This window comes from Homo sapiens, chromosome 8 (genome assembly GCF_000001405.40).
Source record: "Homo sapiens chromosome 8, GRCh38.p14 Primary Assembly".
Taxonomy (NCBI): Eukaryota; Metazoa; Chordata; class Mammalia; order Primates; family Hominidae; genus Homo; species Homo sapiens.
The window spans coordinates 29,913,435-29,935,752 of NC_000008.11; the positions used below are offsets into that span (position 1 = coordinate 29,913,435).

Here is a 22,318-nt window from a genome sequence, read left to right on the forward strand (position 1 = left end):
TCCCTTTGAAAACTAGAACAAGACAAGGAGGCCCTCTCTCAACACTACTGTTCAATATAGTATTGGAAGTTCTGGCCAGGGCAATCAGGCAAGAGAAAGAAATGAAGAGTATTTAATTAGGAAGAGATGAAGTCAAATTGTCTTTGTTTGCAGATGACATGGTTTTATATCTAGAAAACCCTATCTTCTCAGCCCAAACTCCTTAAACTGATAAGCAACTTCAATAAAGTCTAAGGATGCAAAAGCAATGTGCAAAAATCACAAGTACTCCTTTACTCCAACAATAAACAAGCAGAGAGCCAAATCATGAATAAACTCCCATTTGCCACTGCTACAAAGAGAATAAAATACCTAACAACACAGGTAAGAAGAGATGTGAAAGACCTCTTCAAGGAGAACTACAAACCACTGCTCAAGGAAATAAGAGAGGACACAAACAAATGGAAAAACATTCCATCCTCATGGATAGGAAGAATCAATATCATGAAAATGGCCATACTGCCCAAAGTAATTTATAGATTCAATGCTATTCTCATAAAATTACCATTGACATGCTTCACAGAATTTGGAAAAATGATTTTAAGTTTCATATGGAATCAAAGAAGATCCCATAGAGCCAAGACAATCCTAAGCAAAAAGAACAAAGCTGGAGGCATCACACTACCTGACTTCAAACTATACTACGACAGAATGGTATTAGTACCAAAACAGATATACAGACCAATGGGACAGAAAGAGACCTCAGAAATAACACCACACATCTATAACCAACTAATCTTTGACAAACTTGACAAAAACAAGCAATGGTGAAACGATCTCCTATTCAGTAAATGCTGCTGGGAAAACTAGCTAGCCATATGCAGAAAACTGAAACTGGACTCCTTCCTCACACCCTATACAAAAATTAACTCAAGATGGATTAAAGATTTAAATGTAAAACCCAAAATCATAAAAACCCTAAAAGAAAACCGAGGCAATACCATTCAGAACATAGGCATGGGCAAAGACTTCATGACAAAAATGTTGAAAGCAATTGCAACAAAAGCCAAAATTGACAAATGGGATCTAATTAAACTAAAGAGCTTCTGCACAGCAAAAGAAACTATCATCAGAGTGAACAGGCAACCTATGGAATGGGAGAAAATTTTTGCAATCTATCCATCTGACAAAGGTCTAATATCCAGAATTTACAAGGAACTTAAACAAGTTTACAAGAAAAAAAAAACAACAACTCCATCAAAAAGTGGGCAAAAAATATGAACAGACACTTCTCAAAGAAAATATTCATGCAGCCAACAAACATGAAGAAAGCTCAACATCATTGATCATCAGAGAAATGCAAATCAAAACCACAATTAGATACCATCTCACACCAGTCAGAATAGTGATTATTAAAAAGTCAGAAAGCAATAGATGCTGTCAAGGCTGCGGAGAAATAAGAATGCTTTTACACTGCTGGTGGGAATGTAAATTAGTTCAACCATTGTGGAAGACAGTATGGTGATTCCTCAAGGATCTAGAACCAGAAATACCATTTGATCCAGCAATCCCATTACTGGGTATATACCCAAAGGAGTATAAATCATTCCACTATAAAGACACATGCACACATATATTTACTGCAGCACTATTTACAATAACAAAGACATGGAACCAACCCAAATGCCCATCAATGATAGACTGGATAAAGAAAATGTGGTACATATATACCATGGAATACTATGCAGCCATAAAAATGAATGAGATCATGTCCTTTGCAGGAACGTGGATGAAGCTGGGAGCCATCATCCTCAGCAAACTAACACAGGAACAGAAAAACCAAATACTGCATGTTCTCACTCACAAATGGAAGTTGAACAAAGAAAACACATGGACACAGAGAGGGGAACAACACACCAGGGCCTGTTGGGGGTAGGGGGTGAGGGAGGGGACCTTAGAAGACAGGTCAAGAGGTGCAGCAAACCACCATGGCACACATATACCTACGTATACCTATGTAACATGACACACGTATACCTATGTAACATGACACACGTATACCTATGTAACAAACCTGCATATTCTGCACATGTATCCCATTTTATTTTTAGAAGAAATAAAGAAAAACAAAAATTAAATAATAAATTAATTAAATAAAATCAAAATCATATTAAGCATCTTCTCAGACTACAGTGGAATAAAGCTATAAATCAATACTAATAGGAACCATTTTTATGAGACAGGCTCTCACTCTGTCACCTAGGCTGGAGTGCAGTGACACAATCATGGCTCACTGCAGCCTTAACCTCCCAGGATCAAATGATCCTCCCAACTCAGCCTCCCAAGTAGCAGCTGGGGCTACAGATGCTCACCACCATGCTCAGCTAATTTTTTTTTAATAGGGACAGGGTCTTGCCATGTTGCCCAGGTTGGTCTTGAATTCCTGGGCTCAGGCTATCCTCTTGCCTCGGTCTCCCAAAGTGCTGGGATTACAGGCATGAGCCACCATTCACAGCCGAAACTTTGGAAACTATACAAATACACAGAAATTAAAGAGGATGCTCCTGAATGATCATTAGGTCAGTGAAGAAATTAACATGAAAATTTTAAAATGTTTTGAAATGAATGAAAATGAAAACACAACATACCTAAACCTCTGAGATACAGCAAAAGCAGTGCTAACAGAAAAATATATAGCACTAACACCTACATCATAAAAGTAGAAATATTATAAATTAACAATCTAATATCATACCTCAAGGAACTAGAAAACAAAAACAAAACAAACCCATAGTTAAAAAAAAAAAAGATCAGACCAGAACTAAATAGACACCAAAAGACAATACAAAGAATCAAGGAAATAAAAGTTGATTCTTCAAAAAGATAAACAAAGTTGATAAACCACTAGCTAGACTAACCAAGAAAAGAAAAAATCTCAACACAATCAGAAATGAAAAAGGAGACATTACAACACACCACAGAAATGTACATACCACAGAAATACAAAATATTATCAGAGATTATTATGAACAACAATATACTCACAAACTAGAAAATCTAGATGAAATGGATAAATTCCCGGAAACATACAACCTCCTGAGATTGAACCAGGAAGAAATAAAACCCCTGAACAGACAAATAATGAGCAGCAAGATTGAATTGGTAATAATAAAAAAAAAAACTCCCAACAACAACAACCAAAAGGCCCAGGATGAGATGGATTCGCAGCCAAAATCAACCAAGCATACAAAGAATTAATACCAATCCCCTTGAAATTATTCAAAAAATTGAAGAGGAGGGAATTCACCTAACTTATTCTATGAAGACAGTATCGCCCTGATACCAAAACCAGATAAGGACGCAACAAAAAAAGAAAACTATAGACCAATATTTCTAATGAATATAGACACAAAAATTTTCAACAAAATACTAACAAATTGAATGCAACCGCACATCAAAAAGATAATACACCATGATTAGGTGGGATTTATCCCAAGGATGCAGGGATGCTGCAACATACACAAATCAATAAATGTATGGATTGCATAAACAGAATGAGCAGCAAGAACCATATGATCATCTCAATAGATGCAGAAAATGCATTTGATAAAGTTCAGCATCACTTTATGATAAAAATGTACAACAAACTAGGCACAGAAAGAAAATACCACAACATAACAAAGGCAATTTACAACCAACTCACAGTCAAAATCACAGTTAATGGGGAAAAGTTGAAAACATTCCCTCTAAGAACTGGAACAAGACAAGGAAGTCCACTGTCACCACTCTTATTCAACATAGTACTGGAAGTTCTTACCAAACAATCAGGCAAGGGAGAAAAATAAAAGGCAACCAAATTGAAAAACAGAAAGTCAAATTCTGATAATATGATATCTAGAAAACCCTAAAGACTTCACCAAAAAAAAACATAGATTTGATAAATGAATTCAGTAAAGTTTCAGGATACAAAATTAACATACAGAAATCAGTAGCATTTCTATACACCAATAATGATCTAACCAAAGGACAAAATCAAAAATGCAATCACATTTACAATAGCTACAAAAAAGTTAAATACCTAGGAATATATTTAACTAAGGAGGTGAAATATTTCTATAATAAGAACTGCAAAACTCTGATGAAAGAAACTGCAGGTGACACAAACAAACAGAAAAACATCCCATGTTCATGGGTTGGAAGAACCAATATTGTTAAAATGACCATACTGCCCAAAGCAATCTATAGATTCAATGTAACTCCTATAAAATTACCAACAGCATTCTTCAGAATTAGAAAAAACGATGCTTGAAGTTCATATAGAACCAAAAAAGAGCCCAAAAGCCAAAGAAATCCTATGCAAAAAGAAGAAAGCCAGAGGCAGCACATTACTTGACTTCAAATTATACTGCAAGATTATAGTAACTAAAACAGTATGGTAATGGCACAAAAGTAAATACACAGATCAATGGAATAGAATAGAGAACCCAGAAATAAAGCCACATACTTAAAACCAACTGATCTTTGACAAAGTTGACAAAAATAAATAATAGGGAAACTACACTCTATTAAACAACTTGTGCTGGGAAAATTGGCTAGCCATATGCAGAAGAATGAAACTGGACTCCTATCTTTCAACACATACAAAAGTAACTCAAGATGGATTAAAGACCTAAATGTAAGACCTGAAACTACAAAAGTCCTAGATGAAAACCAAGGAAAAACTCTTCTGGACATTGGGTTAGACAAAAAGTTTATGACTAAGACCTCAAAAGCAAATGCAATAAAAATTAAAATAGACCAATGGGATTTAATTAAACTAAAAAGCTTCTGCACAGCAAAAGAAATAATCAGTTGAGTACATAGACAACCTACAGAATGGGAGAAAATGTTTACAAATTATGTCTCCAACAAATGACTAATATCCAGAATCTACAATGAACTCAAACAATTCAACAAGAAAAAAAACTAACAATCCCATTAAAAAGTGGGTAAAGGACATAAACATACCTTTATCAAAGAAGACATACAAGCATCCTCAAGCATATGAAAAAATTCTCAACATCACTAATCATCAAAGAAACACAAAGTAACACCAAAATGAGATTACACCATTCAGAATGGCTACTTTTAAAAAGTCTACAAACAACAGATGTTGGTGTGGATGCTGAGAAAAAGGAATCCTTATACCCCTCACATTTGGTAAGAATGTAAATTACTACCACCTCCATGGAAAACAGTATGGAGATTTCTGAAACTACTAAAAATAGAACTACCATTTAATCCAGCAATCCCACTACTGGGCATCTACCCGAAGAAAAATAAATCATAACATAAAAAAATAGACCTGTACTAGTATGTTTATCATGGCACTATTCACAATAACAAAGCCATGGAATCAACCTAAGTGCCCATCAATGGATGACTGGATAAAGAAAAAATGTATATATACACACCATGAAATATGCAGCCATAAAAAAGAATGAAGTCCTGTCCTTTGCAGCAACATGCGTGGAGGTGACTATTATCCTAAGTGAAATAACTCAGAAACGGAAAATCAAATACCACATGTTCTCACTTCTGAGTAAGAGCTAAATAATGGGTACACATGGACATAAAGATGGAAATAATAGACACTGGGAACTGCAAAAGGGAGGAGGGTGGGAGGGAGTGAAGGTTAAAAAAACTATCAATTGGGCTCAATGTTCGCTATTTGGGTGACGAGCACACTGGAAACCCAAACCTCACCATTATGCGATATGTCCATGCAACAAACCTGCACATGTACCCCCTGAATCTAAAATTAAAAAAAAAAAAAAGCAGTCTAAGGAAATAGGGAAGTTTGATAATTATGTACCTGGACTTCTAGGGAGTACAACTTAGAGTTTTGTCAAATAAGGGAGGAAAAGAGTATTGGGTCAAGGGAGAAAAATCAGAATATTATGGTGATAAAAGTACTAAAGAGAATAGAAAAGCAAAGGGGCTTACGATTTGTACAGTGATCAAAGAAACCAGGAATGTTAAAGCAGACAGGGTTGCTACATCAGAAAAAAAGAAGAGGGAAGAGTTCAGTAGCCTCCTTAATCATCTGCCATGGAGTCAGCAGCTCAGGTAGTGATCAAGGAAGCCCAAATCTAGTCTTCAGGCACTCAGGAGTGGGCAGTTATTCTACCAGCTTTGGCTCTACGTTTCTGGTTCCGGTTAAGAGTAATGCATCAAACCAATGGACCACCAGGACCAAGGGATAAGCTTCAAAAAGTACAGTTCTGCTCTTAAGCACTTCCTCCCTACAGGACCCAGCCCAGAGACATAGGCGGAGGTAATGCTGCTGCTAGGTGCTTTGAGCCATTTTGTGCTCCCTCCTACCTGCCCCTCCTTTTGCCCCAAATTCTAGTCCCACCTGCTTTGTCATCTACTACCTGCCTATGGTAGTTCCCTCTCTGGTCTTCAGTGTCCTCATTGGTAAAATGAACGTAATATATATATCCCTTCTGTAATCCCATATATTCATGCAGTGATGTAAATGATGGGAAAGGGCTTTGAACAATGTGGTAAGTTAAAGAGGCTGGGGCACTGACTTTCTCCCACTTTCCCAAGTCCCACTTCAGAACTGCTCTCCTAGGGCCCAACCTCATAACTCTTTTCTAGCCCTTTGATAAACATTTGCCTACTGAGGGGCAAAACTACATGACATCCCAAGAACAGAGACTAATACTGTAGCCCATTTCTTCTCTTTATTTCCCATGATTTTTTTTTTTTTTAAGGAGTCTCATTCTGTCGCCTAGGCTGGAGTGCAGTGGTGCAATCTCAGCTGATTGCAACCTCTGCCTCCTGGGTTCAAACAATTCTCCTGCCTCAGTCACCTGAGTAGCTGGGATTACAGGCACCTGCCACCACACCTGGCTAATTTTTATATTTTTTGTGGAGATGGGGTTTCGCCATGTTGGCCAGGCTGGTCTCAAACTCCTGACCTCAGGTGATCTGCCCATCCCAGCCTCCCAAAGTGCTAGGATTACAGGCGTGAGCCACTACACCCAGCCCCCATGATTACTCTTAAACCTAGAAACTGGGACCGTTTTCCTGGTTGGTGGAGCCTATTCACTAGATCAAAAGGGAGGGGCATAATGAGTTTCACAATGGGCATTCAGTTATGGGGTGATGCAAGGAGTGGGTGTGTGAGATAAATGCTGAATAGGCCTGGGGCACATTTTGACTCCTGTGGACAAGTGAGTAACTAGAGCTCTCATGTGAAAAGATGTCAAGACAGCTATCTTGAATTTCTCCATCTCAACCCCAGCCTTCACTTTTTTCCATTCCTTCCTGCTCTCATCATCCAGCCCTTTCTCTCATTTTTTCCCAATTCTCAGGCTGCACCCTACTCTCCTGTTCCATCCAACTTTTTGTTTCGTCCCTACCTGTCAACATCATCCCTGCCCACTACCCTACCTTAAGGATTGCCCTGCCCAGCTGTCTTCTGTTGGTTTTAACCTGTGCATTTGCCACCACTATATTCATCAGGGTCCCAATTTCCACTACTGCCTTCTTTTTCACCCTACCTTTCCTCCTAGGCCTAGTTTCTAGTCCTCTGTATTCTAGTCTCCACCCCCATTCCAGTCACCACTAACTAGTCCTGTTGGGGGCTCACAAACCTCATCCTAGACACATGGTTTCCCTACTACTGTGACAGTTCTTGGGCCAGGAGTGTGGACTCCTGGAAGCCTAACATGGTGGGCATAGGGAATGCAAGACAATGGCAAACCAACAGTCAGCCTCAACAGTCTGCTCCTTCCCTCTCCTGCATGAGCAGCCAGACTTCATTAGCCTCTACATTTGGAACTGGCTTCTCCATTGAAACTTGTCTGTAACCACATAGCAAACTGCAGGACAAGTAGCAGAGAAGGTGGAGGAGAAAAGTGGAAAGCGTATAATCAGGAGGAAAATAATTGGCCAAAATCAGGTCTAATCATGTGTCCAATACTTCCTGAGCCTGCCCCTTGACAGTGAGCCCTTTCCTGGCAGTATGCAGGGGCGATTCTAGTAACCAGGCTGGGTTCTGAGAAGCTGGGGCAGGGCAGTACAGGGACACTGTTGCCTGGAGACAGCAGAGGACACCATTGCCTGGAGATGACAGAAGGCTGAGGATGGAGAGAGGCACTGATAGAGGCCAGACCAGACAAGCAGTGCCAAGTCCATAGTGGGACACCAAAGGGAGGAGGCAATCCCAGATGAGGTCCATCCCAGAACCAGACCTTGCAGGGACCTCAAGGAGCTATGAACATAGAAACCCTATACATGATATCACTTGAATCCCTCCACAAGGGCTTCTGATATTGTCTTAGACCTTTGGAAAGTTCAGGGGTAGTAGCCTCTGGGCCCATAGTGCTCCCCTGATGATGCAGCCCCACCCTCAACTCTTGCCACTGCAGATGCTCCTTGGGCAGTTTCATCTGGGCCTTTCACATCAGCTCCCTCCAAATGTGACTGGACCTCAAATGGATCTTCAGACCCCCATGCCCAACCACCTCCCAGCTACCTTCCCTGGACAACCCACAGGTCACATGATCACCAGGAAGCCCATGTCTCTGCATGATAACCTGGAGAAACCTACAGATGCCAGGCTTCTGAATCTCATTCACCATGCTTCCCAGGGATCAAGGAAGAAATACCCAGAGATACAGACTGAAAAATCAGGAAACTGGATGGGATTCAGAGCCCTTGGAATGGAGCCTTCTCATTCATTCACCCAACTCCAGTCTAAAACGTGCAGCTCTGAAGCAGGGCTGCTTCATAGAGACTTGAGTAAATAGCACAGTAAAGCCCAGGTTTTACCAGTGAGGAGGAGAGTAAATACACTGATCATTTGCAAGAGCACCTCTTCAGATATGGCACCTCTCCTTGGAGAGAGGAGACTATGGAAGACAGGGAGACCATTCTAGCTGAAGCTCACACCACTTACACAACAAAAGATCTAAGTCGAAAAGGGAGAGAGTAAAGACCTGGCTCACATGGGTGTGAAGTGTGCATGTGGAAACATTGCATCTTTAACATTTCACAACATCTTGTAGCAGGCTTACTATGGCAGGAAGGACAAGTGTGGCTGGCCCAGCCAGTGCTGTCCTGCTCAGACCTTCCTAGGCTTTGCAATGCTGGGATAATAGGGAAGCCACACTCAATGAGCATCTCTCAGCCTCACATCTCCTGGTCAACCCAGAATGCCACAACCACAGGCCGAACCACAGGTAAGAAAGGAAGTAGGTAACTTCTGGGTCTACAATGACATCACTCTGTACAAGGCTAAAATGTGGAGTTTAGGAAAAGATAATGACCACGAGTAGCATCCCAGAGGATTTAATACCCTGAGTTTGCATGGCCCACAGAAATATTACCTTTAGAAAAATAGAAGAGGGTGAACATACACCACTGAGGTTGGTCTAGGGGTATTCCCAAAGCCACCAACCTTACCTTAATATGTCACTCCTGTCTCTCAACACCATATAAACGGGAATATCTAATATCTAGGTAAGCATTCTTTTTTTCTTGGTACGTGTCTCAGTTTGTTTTCGGCTGCTATAACAAAATACCACAGACTGAAAAATTTATAAAGAAAATGAATTTATTTCTCACAGATCTGGAGGCTGGGAAATCCAAGAACATGGCACTGGCATCAGGCAAGGGTCAGCCCATGCTGGAGGGCAGAAGGCAGAAGTGAGCATGTGAGACAGAGATAAGAAATTAGGCTGAACTTGCTTGTATAGCAAACCCAGCCTCTCAATAACTAACCCGCTCCAGCAATAATGGCATTAATCCATTCATGAGGGCAGAGCCCCCATGACCTATTCACATCCTAAAGGCCCCACATCAATCATATCTCAACATGAGGTTCAGAGGACACAAACATTCAAACCATAGCAGTAAGTAATCCTTTTTCTTAAAAAAAAATTTATGTTTTTACTAAAATATTTTATAAATTTGCTTTAAAATTTTTAAATAATATGGAAGCTATAGAGTGGGAGTGGGTAGGAAGATTCTGCAAATCTCCAGTCTTCTCCTGCTCCCTCTTCACTCCCCATCCCAACCTACCATTCTGCACTACCAGGGTAACCACTGCTAACATTCCATGCTTTGTGAATATTCTGAATGTTTTTTAAAGGAAATAAGATCATTTCTTACATACTATTCTGCAACTTATGTTTTAATGTAATGTATGTTAGAGAGCTTTCCATATTAATACAATATGTGTGGCCCATTTTAATAGCTATAAGCCATTGTATTAACATACCATCATGAGGGTACACTGCCACCTTGGATGAACACGTAGGCTACTTCCTTGTGTCTATATATTTGCTTTTGTTATTATTAGAAAGCAGCAAGGAACAGCCTGTACACATAACTTTGCAAGTTTACATGAATTTATCTACAAAATAAATTCATAGAAGTAGAAATGGTGAGTCAAAGGAATGAAGCATTTAAAATTTTTATAGATATTGCCAAATTGATCTTCAAACACTTGTACCAATTTGTTCTCCCAGGAACAACAGTGTGCAGGCATATTTGTTTGCATAGATCCTAGCCAACTGAGGGAGTTATCGAACTATTAAATCTCTGCCAATCCAATGGGGGTAATATGATAATCTGTCCATTTATTTTGTATTTCTTTCATTATCAGTGAGCATGAGTCTCTGTAAGACAGATTCATTCTTTTTTATGCAAACTCCCTCTTTATGTCTTATACACATTTTTCTCTGAATTTTGGTCTTTTTCTTTCCTGTTTTTAGAAGCAATTTTGGTACTATTGAAAATGAGTCCTTTTGTTACAAGTGTTGCCATTATTTTTTTTCCAGGCTGTCTTTTGCCTTTCTGATGGTATTTTTTCAAGTAAATTTTTTTTATTTTTGTATAGGCAAATCTGTTTATCCTCTTCCTTATGGTTCTTAGTTTTACATCATACCTAAAAGAGTCTTACCCATTCTAAGATTTTTTTTTAAATTCATGAAGGTTTTATTCTAGTGTTTTTATAGATTCATATTTTTGCATTTAAGCATTTGATCCTTCTGGAATTTATTTTGATGTAAGAAAGGAAGTAGGTAACAAGCTTTACCAGGTGGAAGAGTTACTCTTACCAGGAAACCATACTAAGTTCAAATATCAAAAAAAATTGTGTTATGCACACATCATGTATTGAATGTGTAAGGGCTGTGCAACACGTTGACATTTCATTGATCACCTCAACCTTGACCAGCTGTTTGTTCTGCCTTTATGACCTAGCAGTGTGTGCAGCTTGCCGATTCAGACCTCAGTTTACCTGCTGGCATGGAACCTAGTAAATGCCTTTTATTGGATTGTTTTCCTAATGCAGAATTTTTTTAAGTTTTGTAGTTTATTTACTACAAAACAAAGTTGACAAATACATAAATCTGTCTCACTCATTGAACCATTAAGTATCCTCCATTTTCTTCGATAGTTTTTGGGGTACAGGTGGTTTTACATAGCTAAGTTCTTTAGTGATGATTTCTCAGATTTTAGTGCACCTGTCACCCAAGCAGTGTATACTGTACCCAATATGTAGTCTTTTACCCCTCACCCCCTCCAAACCTCCCTCCCCAAGTCCCCAAAGTCCATTATATCATTCTTATGCCTTTGCATCCTCATAGCTTAGCTCCCTCTTATAAGTGGGAACATACGGTATTGGGTTTTTCCATTCCTGAGTTACTCCATTTAGAATAATAGCCTCCAGCTCCATCCAGGCTGCTGCAAAAGACATTATTTTGTTCCTTTTTATGGCTGAGTAGTATTCCACGGTGTATGTATGCCACATTTTCTTTTTCCACTAGTTGGTCAATGGGCATTTAGGTTGGTTCCATATTTTGCAATTCCACCAATTCAGAAATTCTTAACCTTTTTTGTGCCATAGACCTCTTTGGCAGAATAATGTTTTTAAAACACATAGAATCACAAAAGAAACAAATACATTAAAATTGAGTTCTATCCACAGACCCCTTGGTTTATGGACCTAAGATTACTTGAGACTTCTTTTCTGCACCAGACGTTCCAAAAACACCACTTCTTAGAAGTAAACACAAAACCCTCTCCAATGGTCAAACTCTCACCTGCAGATGCCAGCAGTTCTCTCTGAATCCTGGGCTTCCCTCTGCCTCAATGCCTTTTTCTGTGGTCATTGACTCACACTTAGCTAGTTTGCAATCTGCTACTCCATATCAGATGAACTATTGCCAAATTCATAAGAGGTAGGCCATATTAAGGCAAGTGAATTTATATAAACTAATACTACCTTCTCTTGTTCTCTTTATTTCCATACCTACTGTCATTCCTTTTTCCCACCCGGTGCTAATATCTCTTGCCCTGTTGCTTCCTACAAGGGCATCGCTTACTACTCAATCATCCAATGCACAGCTACATATTATAGTCCTGTTACAATACTGAAGAAAGAACATAATCATATATTCTCATGAGTATGTGTCTATCATGAATTTGGTTGCTTTGTTTGTCCCTAAATAAGCGTATCTTTCTCCATGTCACCATACTGGAGGTCTTCCTGATCCCTGCCTCAATAAATGAGTTGACATCAGAAGGTCATCTATGATGAACTATTAACTGAAAATATTTGGAGAGCAGAAGGAAAATGATAACCATGGATTTTTGAGATAAGAGGAGCCATTCTGAATGAGGCATCAATTGAGTTGAGACTCACACAAAAGAAAAATCTCCCTTTGCAGACACCAGGAAGTCTGAAACTGATTCCATCTGGTTTGTCTGTGATGTATAACATTACTGGGTCATTAGTCTTTGCCTTTGCTCAAAGCTAACTCTAGCATCTGGACCGGCAATGTCAGAGCCCTCACAGGCATCCCCACACCAACAATTCTGTAGCCCACGTGGGAGAAGACCTTTGACTTCAAAGGCTGAAAGAGAATCAACAAAAAAACCTTTTGGCTCCTTAGTGACTAGAGAATACATAAGGCCCAAAAACTTTCTCTTTTTCTCTCTCTCTCTACAACTCTATGCGGAAAGAGTTCCTGAAAGGAAAGAACTACAAAGAGTAAGTGGTGAGTTCCTTGACAAAAACAAGTCTCATTAACAAGCAATTCAACTTTTCTCTGAGATGAGCCATATGGACTGTAAACACAAAGACAAAAAGAATTTTAACCCCTAAGTAGCAAAGTTTTCACAGAGCTACTACATTAAAAAGAGATAATAGACATGAAAACACATTTTTTTTAACAGCTGGTAAGTAAAGGTATAATTATCATCAACAATAATCATAGTTTTCTTCATTGAACCTGGTTGAAAAATCATAAAAATTCCAAGTTATGAACTCAGAACATTTATTTTAGACCTCATTTTGTCTGACATAAGATTACTCATTCCTGTAAGCACAACAAAAGGCCGAGAAGAGACCGCAGAGGTCATCTAGCTTAATCCCTTCTTACTGAGTATCAGAAAGGTTAAATGAGGTGTTCAAGTCACAATGAGTCAGTGCAGAGCCAGAACACACCACAGATCTGCTAACTTTGTGGTCCTTCTAGTGATACCATACCACCTACCAGAAACAAATTTAGAGAGTTATATTGTCTGTTACACAAAGCCCTGCTGGACTCACTATCTTCCTTTTGTTTCTCACATCTTCTATTCAGTCTTCCCCACTCTGCTGTCTGCCCCAGGAGGCTGACTTATATGGACTACCTCAACTGACACACTTGACCTCTGACTTCCAGTTGAGTTTAATCAAAGACGACCCCCCAGCAAGAGGAGGAAAGGACAGAGGATAGAGAGGTTGGGTTGCTTATTCCCTGGAGTCCCCTTCAGTCCCATGTTAGTATCATCCTGAGATGAGAGCTCCACACAGCTCTTTCCCTCTGTCCCTTCACCCCTTCAGGCCTAACGGTGTGTGTTAGTTCCCTAAGGCTTCCATAACAAATTTCTATGCTTCAAACAACAGACATTTGTCTCATAGTTCTGAGGCCAGAAGTTTAAAATCAAGGTTTTAGTAGGCCATGCTCTCTCCGAAGGGTGTAAGTGAGATCCTTCGTTGCACCTGCCTTGCTTCTGAAAGTTGCTGGCAATCCTTGCCATTCCTTGGCTTATAGATGCATCACTCCAATCTCTCCTTCAGCTTCACCTGATGTTTTCCCTGTGTCTCTGTCTATATCTCTTCTCCTCTTATTATAAGGATGTTAGACATACAAGATTAGGGCCCACCATAATGACCTCATCTTCATTTGATTATGTCTGCCAGGACTCTCTTTCCAAATAAGATCACATTCAGAGGAACGGAAGGTTACAACTTCAACATGTCTTTTGGAGGGACACAATTTAACCCGTAACACAATGGTAACAAAGCCCTGTTACTACTTGCCCCAGGGCACTGCATTATCCTGTGGTTTTCATAGATCTGATCTGCGTTCCTACAAATAATTCCTTTACTAAACTTTCCCCAAGTTTCACTTCCACTTAGGATATAGAAAGCACAAGAGAATATTGATCCCACCCCAATAATGAGAAAAAGCCAAAGAACCTATTCTTGAGCCCGTCAGAGCTGAGAACACAAAGCAACCAACTGAAGTAAGTTCCAGTGAGTCACAGACCCCTCTAAGGAGAGACAGGGCACACAAACTATTTCCCTTTTGGCAGAGCACAAAAGGAAAAGGCAGGTGCCATAAAGGTAGGTAAAAAGAAAACAGCTACAATTTTAACCAATTCTTAAAGGTCAAGTGTAGGCTAAAGACACAATATGCAATCCCTAGACCCCTTATATACAAGCAGAATCTGCACCCACACACCAGTTATTTTTCTTAAACCTGTACCAGGTACTCTTGAGAAGGATTTCAGGCAGGATAGGAAACTTGAGTGAGTCTCTTCAATGTTGCCAACATTCTGGTCATGAACATCTGCTGCTGCGGTGGAACAAGCACAAGGTCTCGCTTACTTCTTTAACATGGAGCAAAAGTCTAAAGCTGCTGGGGAGAAAGCAAGAAAACCTCCCACTTTCAGAGCCCTGGCAAAGATTCCTGCATCTCAAAGGGAAAGAAAGCAAAAGTTCTCTGCTACAGGGGTAAGAAAGCTTCTGGAACAGGAGAAACTCTCTCTAGCCCAGGACCCTACACTCATACAAAGCAGTGGCCTGTTGCCACTGAAGGCAAAACTGAAAAATCTGACTACACAAGAGCTCCCACAGATATTAGGTTGGTGCAAAACAAATTGCGGATTTTGCCATTAAAAGTTATGGCAAAAATCACAATTACTTTTGCACCAACCTAATATAAGGCAGAGTTTGGCTGAAATGGAGGGGAGGGATAAGAATACTGAGAAAGTGCCACCACTGAGGCTCAATGACACAGGACCTACCTAACACAAATGCTGAACCAGGAGAACAAAGATCTTCCCCGCTGCATCACAAGCCTCACACCAAATAACATACAACCGCTGTCTACACCTGAGGGTATGACGGCAAGAATACGAATAAATATCCTATCTGTGATGGAACCATGCAGAGGCTGCTGAAAACTAATGATGAAACATAAATATAGAGAAAAACTCTCAACATCTCAGGCCCCATGTCAAGTGCAAGTTAGCAGCAGTCCACCACTGAAGGAATTTGAAGCTCACAGTCTACTGAAGGTAACTACAATAACCGCAAAACCTAAGCTCAACACATGTACTGACAAGAGTAACTCAAGCTCGCACACTAATAGCATGAAATAAGAAAAGTCATGCCCATTTCAGAACATAAATACGACTTACCTCAGATACTACTACCCTTTTACATATAATGTGTGGCAGTCAATCAAAAATAACAAGACAGACAAAATAAGATAAAGCAAACCACTATGAAGACATGGAGAAATCAATAGATTAATAAGACCCAGAGATGATATGAGCATTAGCATTATCAGACAGATTTTTAAACAACCATAGAATATTTTAGATAATCTAGTTGAATAAGTGGGTAACTTACATGAAGAGATAGAAATCTTTAGCAAAGCAATACTATCAAAAAGTCACATGGATGGCCAGGTATGGTGGCTCTTGCCTGTAATCCCAGCACTTTGGGAGGCCGAGGCAGGTAGGTAGATCACTTGAGGTCAGGAGTTCAAGATCAGCCTTGCCAACATGGCAAAACCCCATCTCTACTAAAAATATAAAAATTAGCTAGGTGTGGTGGTGCACACTTACAATCCTAACTACTCAGGAGGCAGAGGCAGGAGAATTGCTTGAATCTGGGAGGCAGAGGTTGCAGTGAGCTGAGATTGCGTCACTGCACTCCAGCCTGGGCAACAGAATGAGACTCCATCTAAAAAAAATAATAATTAATTAAAATTTTAAAAGAAGTCACATGGAAAGCTAGAAATAAAAAGCATGATACAATGTGTTTAGGATTTGTTTTTGCTCTATCACTTTCAATAAACATGATATCTGAAATACAAAATTCTTTCAATAAGACATAGCTTAAGAAAAAACAAGTAAAACTGAAGAGTGAAAAAATATTATCCAAATTAAAACAGAAAAAAGAAAAAACAGAGCATTAAAGAACTGTGGTAGAATACCAGTTTAACATACATGTAATTAAAATTCCAGATGGAAAAGAGAGAAAGAATACTGCAGAAGAAATATTTGAAGAGGTAATAACAGATGATTTTCCATAATTAGAGACAACACACCAAATCCAAACAGCTCAGAGAAACACAAGCTAGATAAATATACACAGACACAAAGACCCATCATACTCACACTGCTGAAATCAAAGATAAAGAGAAAATCTTGAAGGCAACCAGAGAAAAAAGAAGCATTACATACAGAGATACAAAGATAATATGACAGACTTTGCATCAGAAACTATACAAGACAAGACAAGACGAGAGAGGCATCTTTGAAGTGCTGAAAGAAAAAAAATCAACCTAGATTTCTACGCCCAGCAAAAATATCTTTTATAAATAAATGCAAAATAAAAATATTGTCTAAAAGACAACAGTTGAGAAAATTCATTGCCAGTAAACCTGCATTAAAAGGGGAGTTAAAGAAAGCTCTGCAGGCAAAAGGAGAATGATAAAAGACGGAGATTTTGACTCACACAAAGAAATAAAGGGCAATAAAATTGGTAATATCAGAATATATATAAAAGTATTTTTTCTGATTTTTAGTCTCTCTAAAGGAAAATTGTCTTAGGCAAAATAATAGCAATATATTGTGAAATTTATGACATATATAGAAGTAAAATATATAACAAAAATAACATAAAAGATGAGACAGAAAATAAAATATACTGTTGTACTATAAAGGAAGCAATATAATTACTTAACCATAGACTGTAATATGATAAGATGTCTTTTGTTAATCTTACATCAACTACTAAACAATTTAAAAGAGGTATAACTAATAATCCGATTGTGGAATCACAAAAAAAATACTCAAATAATGCAAAATAAGGCAGAAACGAGAATAAGGAAACAAAAAAGGTGGCATTTAGAAAATAAGTAGCAAGACAGTAGATTTAAATCCAACCATATCAACAATTTTATTAAATAATAATGAAGTCTATCTCTCCCCATTAGAAGGCAGAGATTGTCAAATTAGAAAAGTAGCAAAAGTAGCAAGACCCAGATACATGCAGTCTACAAGAAACCCACTTTTTATATATAAAGACAAAGGCAAGTGAAAAGGGGGGAAAAGATATAACAAAATAACACTAATCAAAAGAAATCTAGATCAGACAAAGTAGGCTTCCAAACAATGAATACTGTAAAATATGAAGAATATTACATAATGATAAAGGGATATAATACACCAGGAAGACTTAACAATCCTAACAATCCTAAATGTACCTAACATGACTTTCCAAAATACATGAAGCAAAGACTAATTGACTCAAATGAGAAATAGACAAATCCACAAGCTGACATTGCAGTTAGAGAATTCAAGTTAGAGGATTCAACGTTCCTCTATCGATAATTAACAAAACAAATATACAGAAAATTAGTATGGATATAGAAAATCTAAATAATAGTATAAACCAGCTTGACCTTCTTGATACTACGTAACATTCCACTTAACAATAGCAGGATAAACATTCTTTTCAAGCATATATAAAATATTCACCAAGAGCAACCTTGTTCTAAGCTATAAAAAAACCTCAACAAATTTAAAGGGAATTAAATAAATGCAAAGTATGTTTTATAAATACAATGAAATTAAACTAGAACTCAGTAACAGAAAGATATCTCAAAAATCCCCAAACATTTGAAAATTAAACACACTTTAAAATAAGAAAATCACAAGGGTAATTAGAAAATATTTGGTATTGGATTTAAAATGAAAACACAATCAGAATTAATGGGATGCAGGTCAAGCAGTGATTAAAGGAAAATTCATGGCATTCAATGCTAATATTGGAAAATAAGAAAGTTCTTAAATCAATGACTTAACCGTCTAACTTAAGGAACTAGAAAAACGACAAATTATACCCAAAGCAAGCAGAAGAAAGAAAATAAAAGTGAGAAGAAATCAATAAAATATAAGAAACAAAATCAAACTATCTCTCTGGGTTTCCAAAGATAATGCAACATGACTGAAAGATAGTATGTGTCTAGTTCCTAAGTTCCTGAATGTGTGAAGCTGAGATAATAGCAACCAACATTTGTACAGGCCCAGCCAATTGGCACACCGTTTTCCTAAAAATTTGCCTATTTGGTCCCACAGTGATCATATTGGGTAAGGTAATACAGCAATTTTCATTACTATCTACAGGTAGGTGATAGTTACAGGTGACATATCTATATTAGGTGACCTACCAAAGACTAAGTCAAGATATAATTTCAAAATTCCTGTTTCCAAATTTACCTTCCGACTATTCCTTCCTGATTCCTTACACTGGGTGCTATGGAAATTTTGTAGAGGACTGAAGCATCTTATTCCCGCCTCCTGGGTGAACTTGGGAGTGAAATAAATCAGAAGCAAAAATCCAAAATGTGTAGCCATGGCTGAGTTGTTGAAACATCAGAACATTTTCATAATACTTGAAGAAATTTTTTTCTCACCAATGTTCATGCATTTCAAAGACAAAAATCTACATTCTTCATCAACATTCCAAAAATACTACCCATTGTCTACAAATTGGCTATTTGTATTTTTTTTTTCACTTAACAGAAAGACCTTTTCAATAACTAACTAGACTGTCCACACCCCCCGCCCTCCATTGGATGTAATAAATCTTAAATTATCTGTCTAGGAAACATCATACTTGGAAAGTAATTTGGACGAACTCTCCACTTCATTTTGGATAAGTAGTAATCTAACCTCTCCTTGAACATAACCAGGACTCTGAACTTACTTCAGGACATTATATTTTCAGAAAACAGTAATTATTTGAAAATCTCTGCTATGTTGCATTCCGTCCAAATCTACCTCCCTGCATCTTATACCTATAATAGTAATAAAGGAACACCTAATGAAAATAATCCAGATTGATTTAATCTGGAAAATCACAAGGCACCATAATAAAGATGTCCTTTCCAGTGGAAACAATAGCAGGTAACTCATTTGTACTAACAAGCCACTTGACTGAGTAGCAATCTAGACGAGTGAGTAGTTGATTTCATCCACATAACTTATTTTTTTTTCTCCCCCCAAGACAGAGTCTCACTGTGTCGCCCAGGCTGGAGTGCAGTGGCGTGATCTCGGCTCACTGCAACTTCTGCCTCCCAGGTTCAAGCAATTCTCCCTGCCTCAGCCTCCTGAGTAGCTGGGATTGCAGGCGCCCACCACCACGCCAGGCTAATTTTTGTATTTTTTAGTAGAGATGGGGTTTCACCATGTTGGCCAGGCTGGTCTTGAACTCCTGACCTCAGGTGATTCCCCCCACCCCTCGGCCCTCCCAAAGTTCTGGGATTACAGGCGTGAGCCACCACACCCCAGCCCATCCATATACATTTTTATATGGATAATTGCTAGATGCCGGTATGGAGGATACAAGACCAGTTTTGTGTTTCAATTGCTTTTGGATGTATACAGAGGAATGTAGCAAATATTTGCTGAGTTTCTATTATGAAATAGGCACCATACAAGGCACTTTATAGAGACACTCTCCTTTAATTCTTACTGATAATCCTTACTATGTGTTATTACTTCCCATTTTATGGATGAAGAAATTAAGGTTCAAAGAGGTTAAATAACATGTCAGAAGCTACGGAGTTTGTAAGTAAAAACTCAGGGTTTTGAACGCATCTTTTAAGCTTCAAAGCAGATCTTACCCAGTGCATCAGTGTGCCTTGATTAACCAAAAGCAGAACCTAAGCTGTCCTTTCCTGATTCCTTACCCTGGTTGCTATGAAAGTTTTGTACAGGACTGAAGCACCCATTCCTGCCTTCTGGGTGGGTGAACCCAGAGTGAAGTACATCAAAATTGAAATCCAAAATGTTTAGCCATAGCTGATGAGAAATGGGTAGATTTATTAATAGTTTCCCCATTCCTCCTTCCCCACCCACCTAATACTCCTTCCAGCACCCTCTTGGGGTCCATAACAGCCCCAGGCCCCCCAAACACCACCTGTCCTGGGTTTGCCTTTCCCAGATTTTGCTCCTGCTTCAGGATGAGCCCTCATCTTAGCCTCCTTCCTGCTTGTCTCACTTTCCCAAGGCCTGGTTTGATCACCTCTGAAAATTTAATTCATTGCTTCAAAAACTGCTAGGACAGGTAGCATTGTAAAAGAGGAGTCCTGGAGAGGTCACTGTGATAGAGTGAGGGAACGTTTGGTGTGAAGAACAGTAGGACATTTCAGCCCCAAAATTTAATACCCAGTGATCTAATCTGACCACAATGGCACCCCAAACCAACATTCTTTTCCATAAAAACTTCCATTATTTCACCTCTTCTACCTGGGGGTGCTCATTTTCTTATAAGGGGAGCAGGCCCTGCATGGGATGCTGCCAGCATCTCGAGGGCACAATTCATGTCTTATTCTTCTTCATATTCCTGATGCCTAATGTAATTCCTAGCACATAGTAGGGGCTCAGTTGCTCTTTGTTAAGTGAATGAAAGAAGGAATGGGCAGAAAAACATAGGATTGCATGGAAATGTCACTAGTTCCAGCTTAGTCAACTCAGCTAATTTATCTCTCTGGCCACTGTCCTAAGGAAGCAATGACATTAGCCATAACAAAAACATACATTGCCAGGTCTCCTTCGTAGAAAAACAGTCTGAATAAACAGAATAGGAGCTCTGATGATAAAGAGACCTCATTCCAATGAGGGAGGCAATCCAACTCGATCTAAATGTTCAGGGAATCTGAACACTCAGAATTCAAGAAAAAGTATGTCTAGACTTCTAGGGTCATTAAATCCTCAAAGTCATGTCCTTTATTCCTTACTTCATCCCAGCTTCTGAGTATTTTAGATCCAGTACTATACGACCTGAATGAATAGCTCTACAAACCCAGGATACAAAGCAATTAATTACATCTGTTATTTTTCCAATTTTATCTCAGGCTTCCTCCTGCCATTATCTCAACCTTGATAGAGAACCCCAGAAATCTGCAAAGGGTCCCCCTTGAGCATTTAGCCGAGTACTGATCAATGGATGTATATGGACAAACTACTCAAGACAAAGGAAAGAACCAGGCAAAAGGGTTAGAGAAAGCATCTCTCACACAGGGCCAATAAGAGTGCCTGTTCCCATCACCCACATTGGAGAAATTCAAAACTCACTGGGCGTGACGTAGAGGACGGAAGAAGATCTTGCCTCAGTGGTAGGAAATAATTAGCCCTACACTAGCACTGCTCAGACCCACCTAACAATCTAAAAAGCAAGCTCTGAAAGGATCTACGCATTTCTAAGGATCTACAGTTTCTAACGCCTCCCAGAGCGAAACTCCAGGAGATTTACAGGAATACGAAAATATCCATTGTCGCTTTGCTTTGTATACTGGTTTTGAAAATCTGACGCTAGCCTAATTCATTTGTCTGTGTAAGTGATTTCATCTTTTTACCTGGAGACAGGCCTTGAGAACTTTATTTTTTGAGAACTAATAGTTATACCAGGATAAGTCTGAGAATTCATTGTTTCTGGATTAATTTTGCCAGATGACTTCTTTCAATGTGTGGGTTTACGTCTTTTTCTACTTTTGGAAAATTTTCTTAGATTACAGTTTTAAATGTTAGTTCTGTTCCTTTGTTTTATTTTCCTCCTTCGGGGACTCAGATAACATGAATATTATTTGTTCTTTGCCTGTCTTCCATTTTTACTACTTTCTGAGACTTTTTACCTTTTTCTCTACTCATTTTCATTTCTTTGGTGTCTTCCTGTTTTCCTGCCCCTTCTTAAATGTTCATTTGG

General features: G+C 38.8%; 1 long non-coding RNA gene across 1 annotated transcript in view; it reads left to right on the top strand.

Annotated features, from left to right (window-relative positions):
- The first annotated feature begins 8,078 nt into the window (after positions 1-8,078).
- Positions 8,079-22,318, top strand: part of LINC02209 (long intergenic non-protein coding RNA 2209) — a 32,097-nt gene continuing 17,857 nt past the window's right edge. The window contains 2 exon segments of the long non-coding RNA NR_024473.1: positions 8,079-9,215; positions 9,603-9,887. This is a non-coding gene — a long non-coding RNA (long intergenic non-protein coding RNA 2209).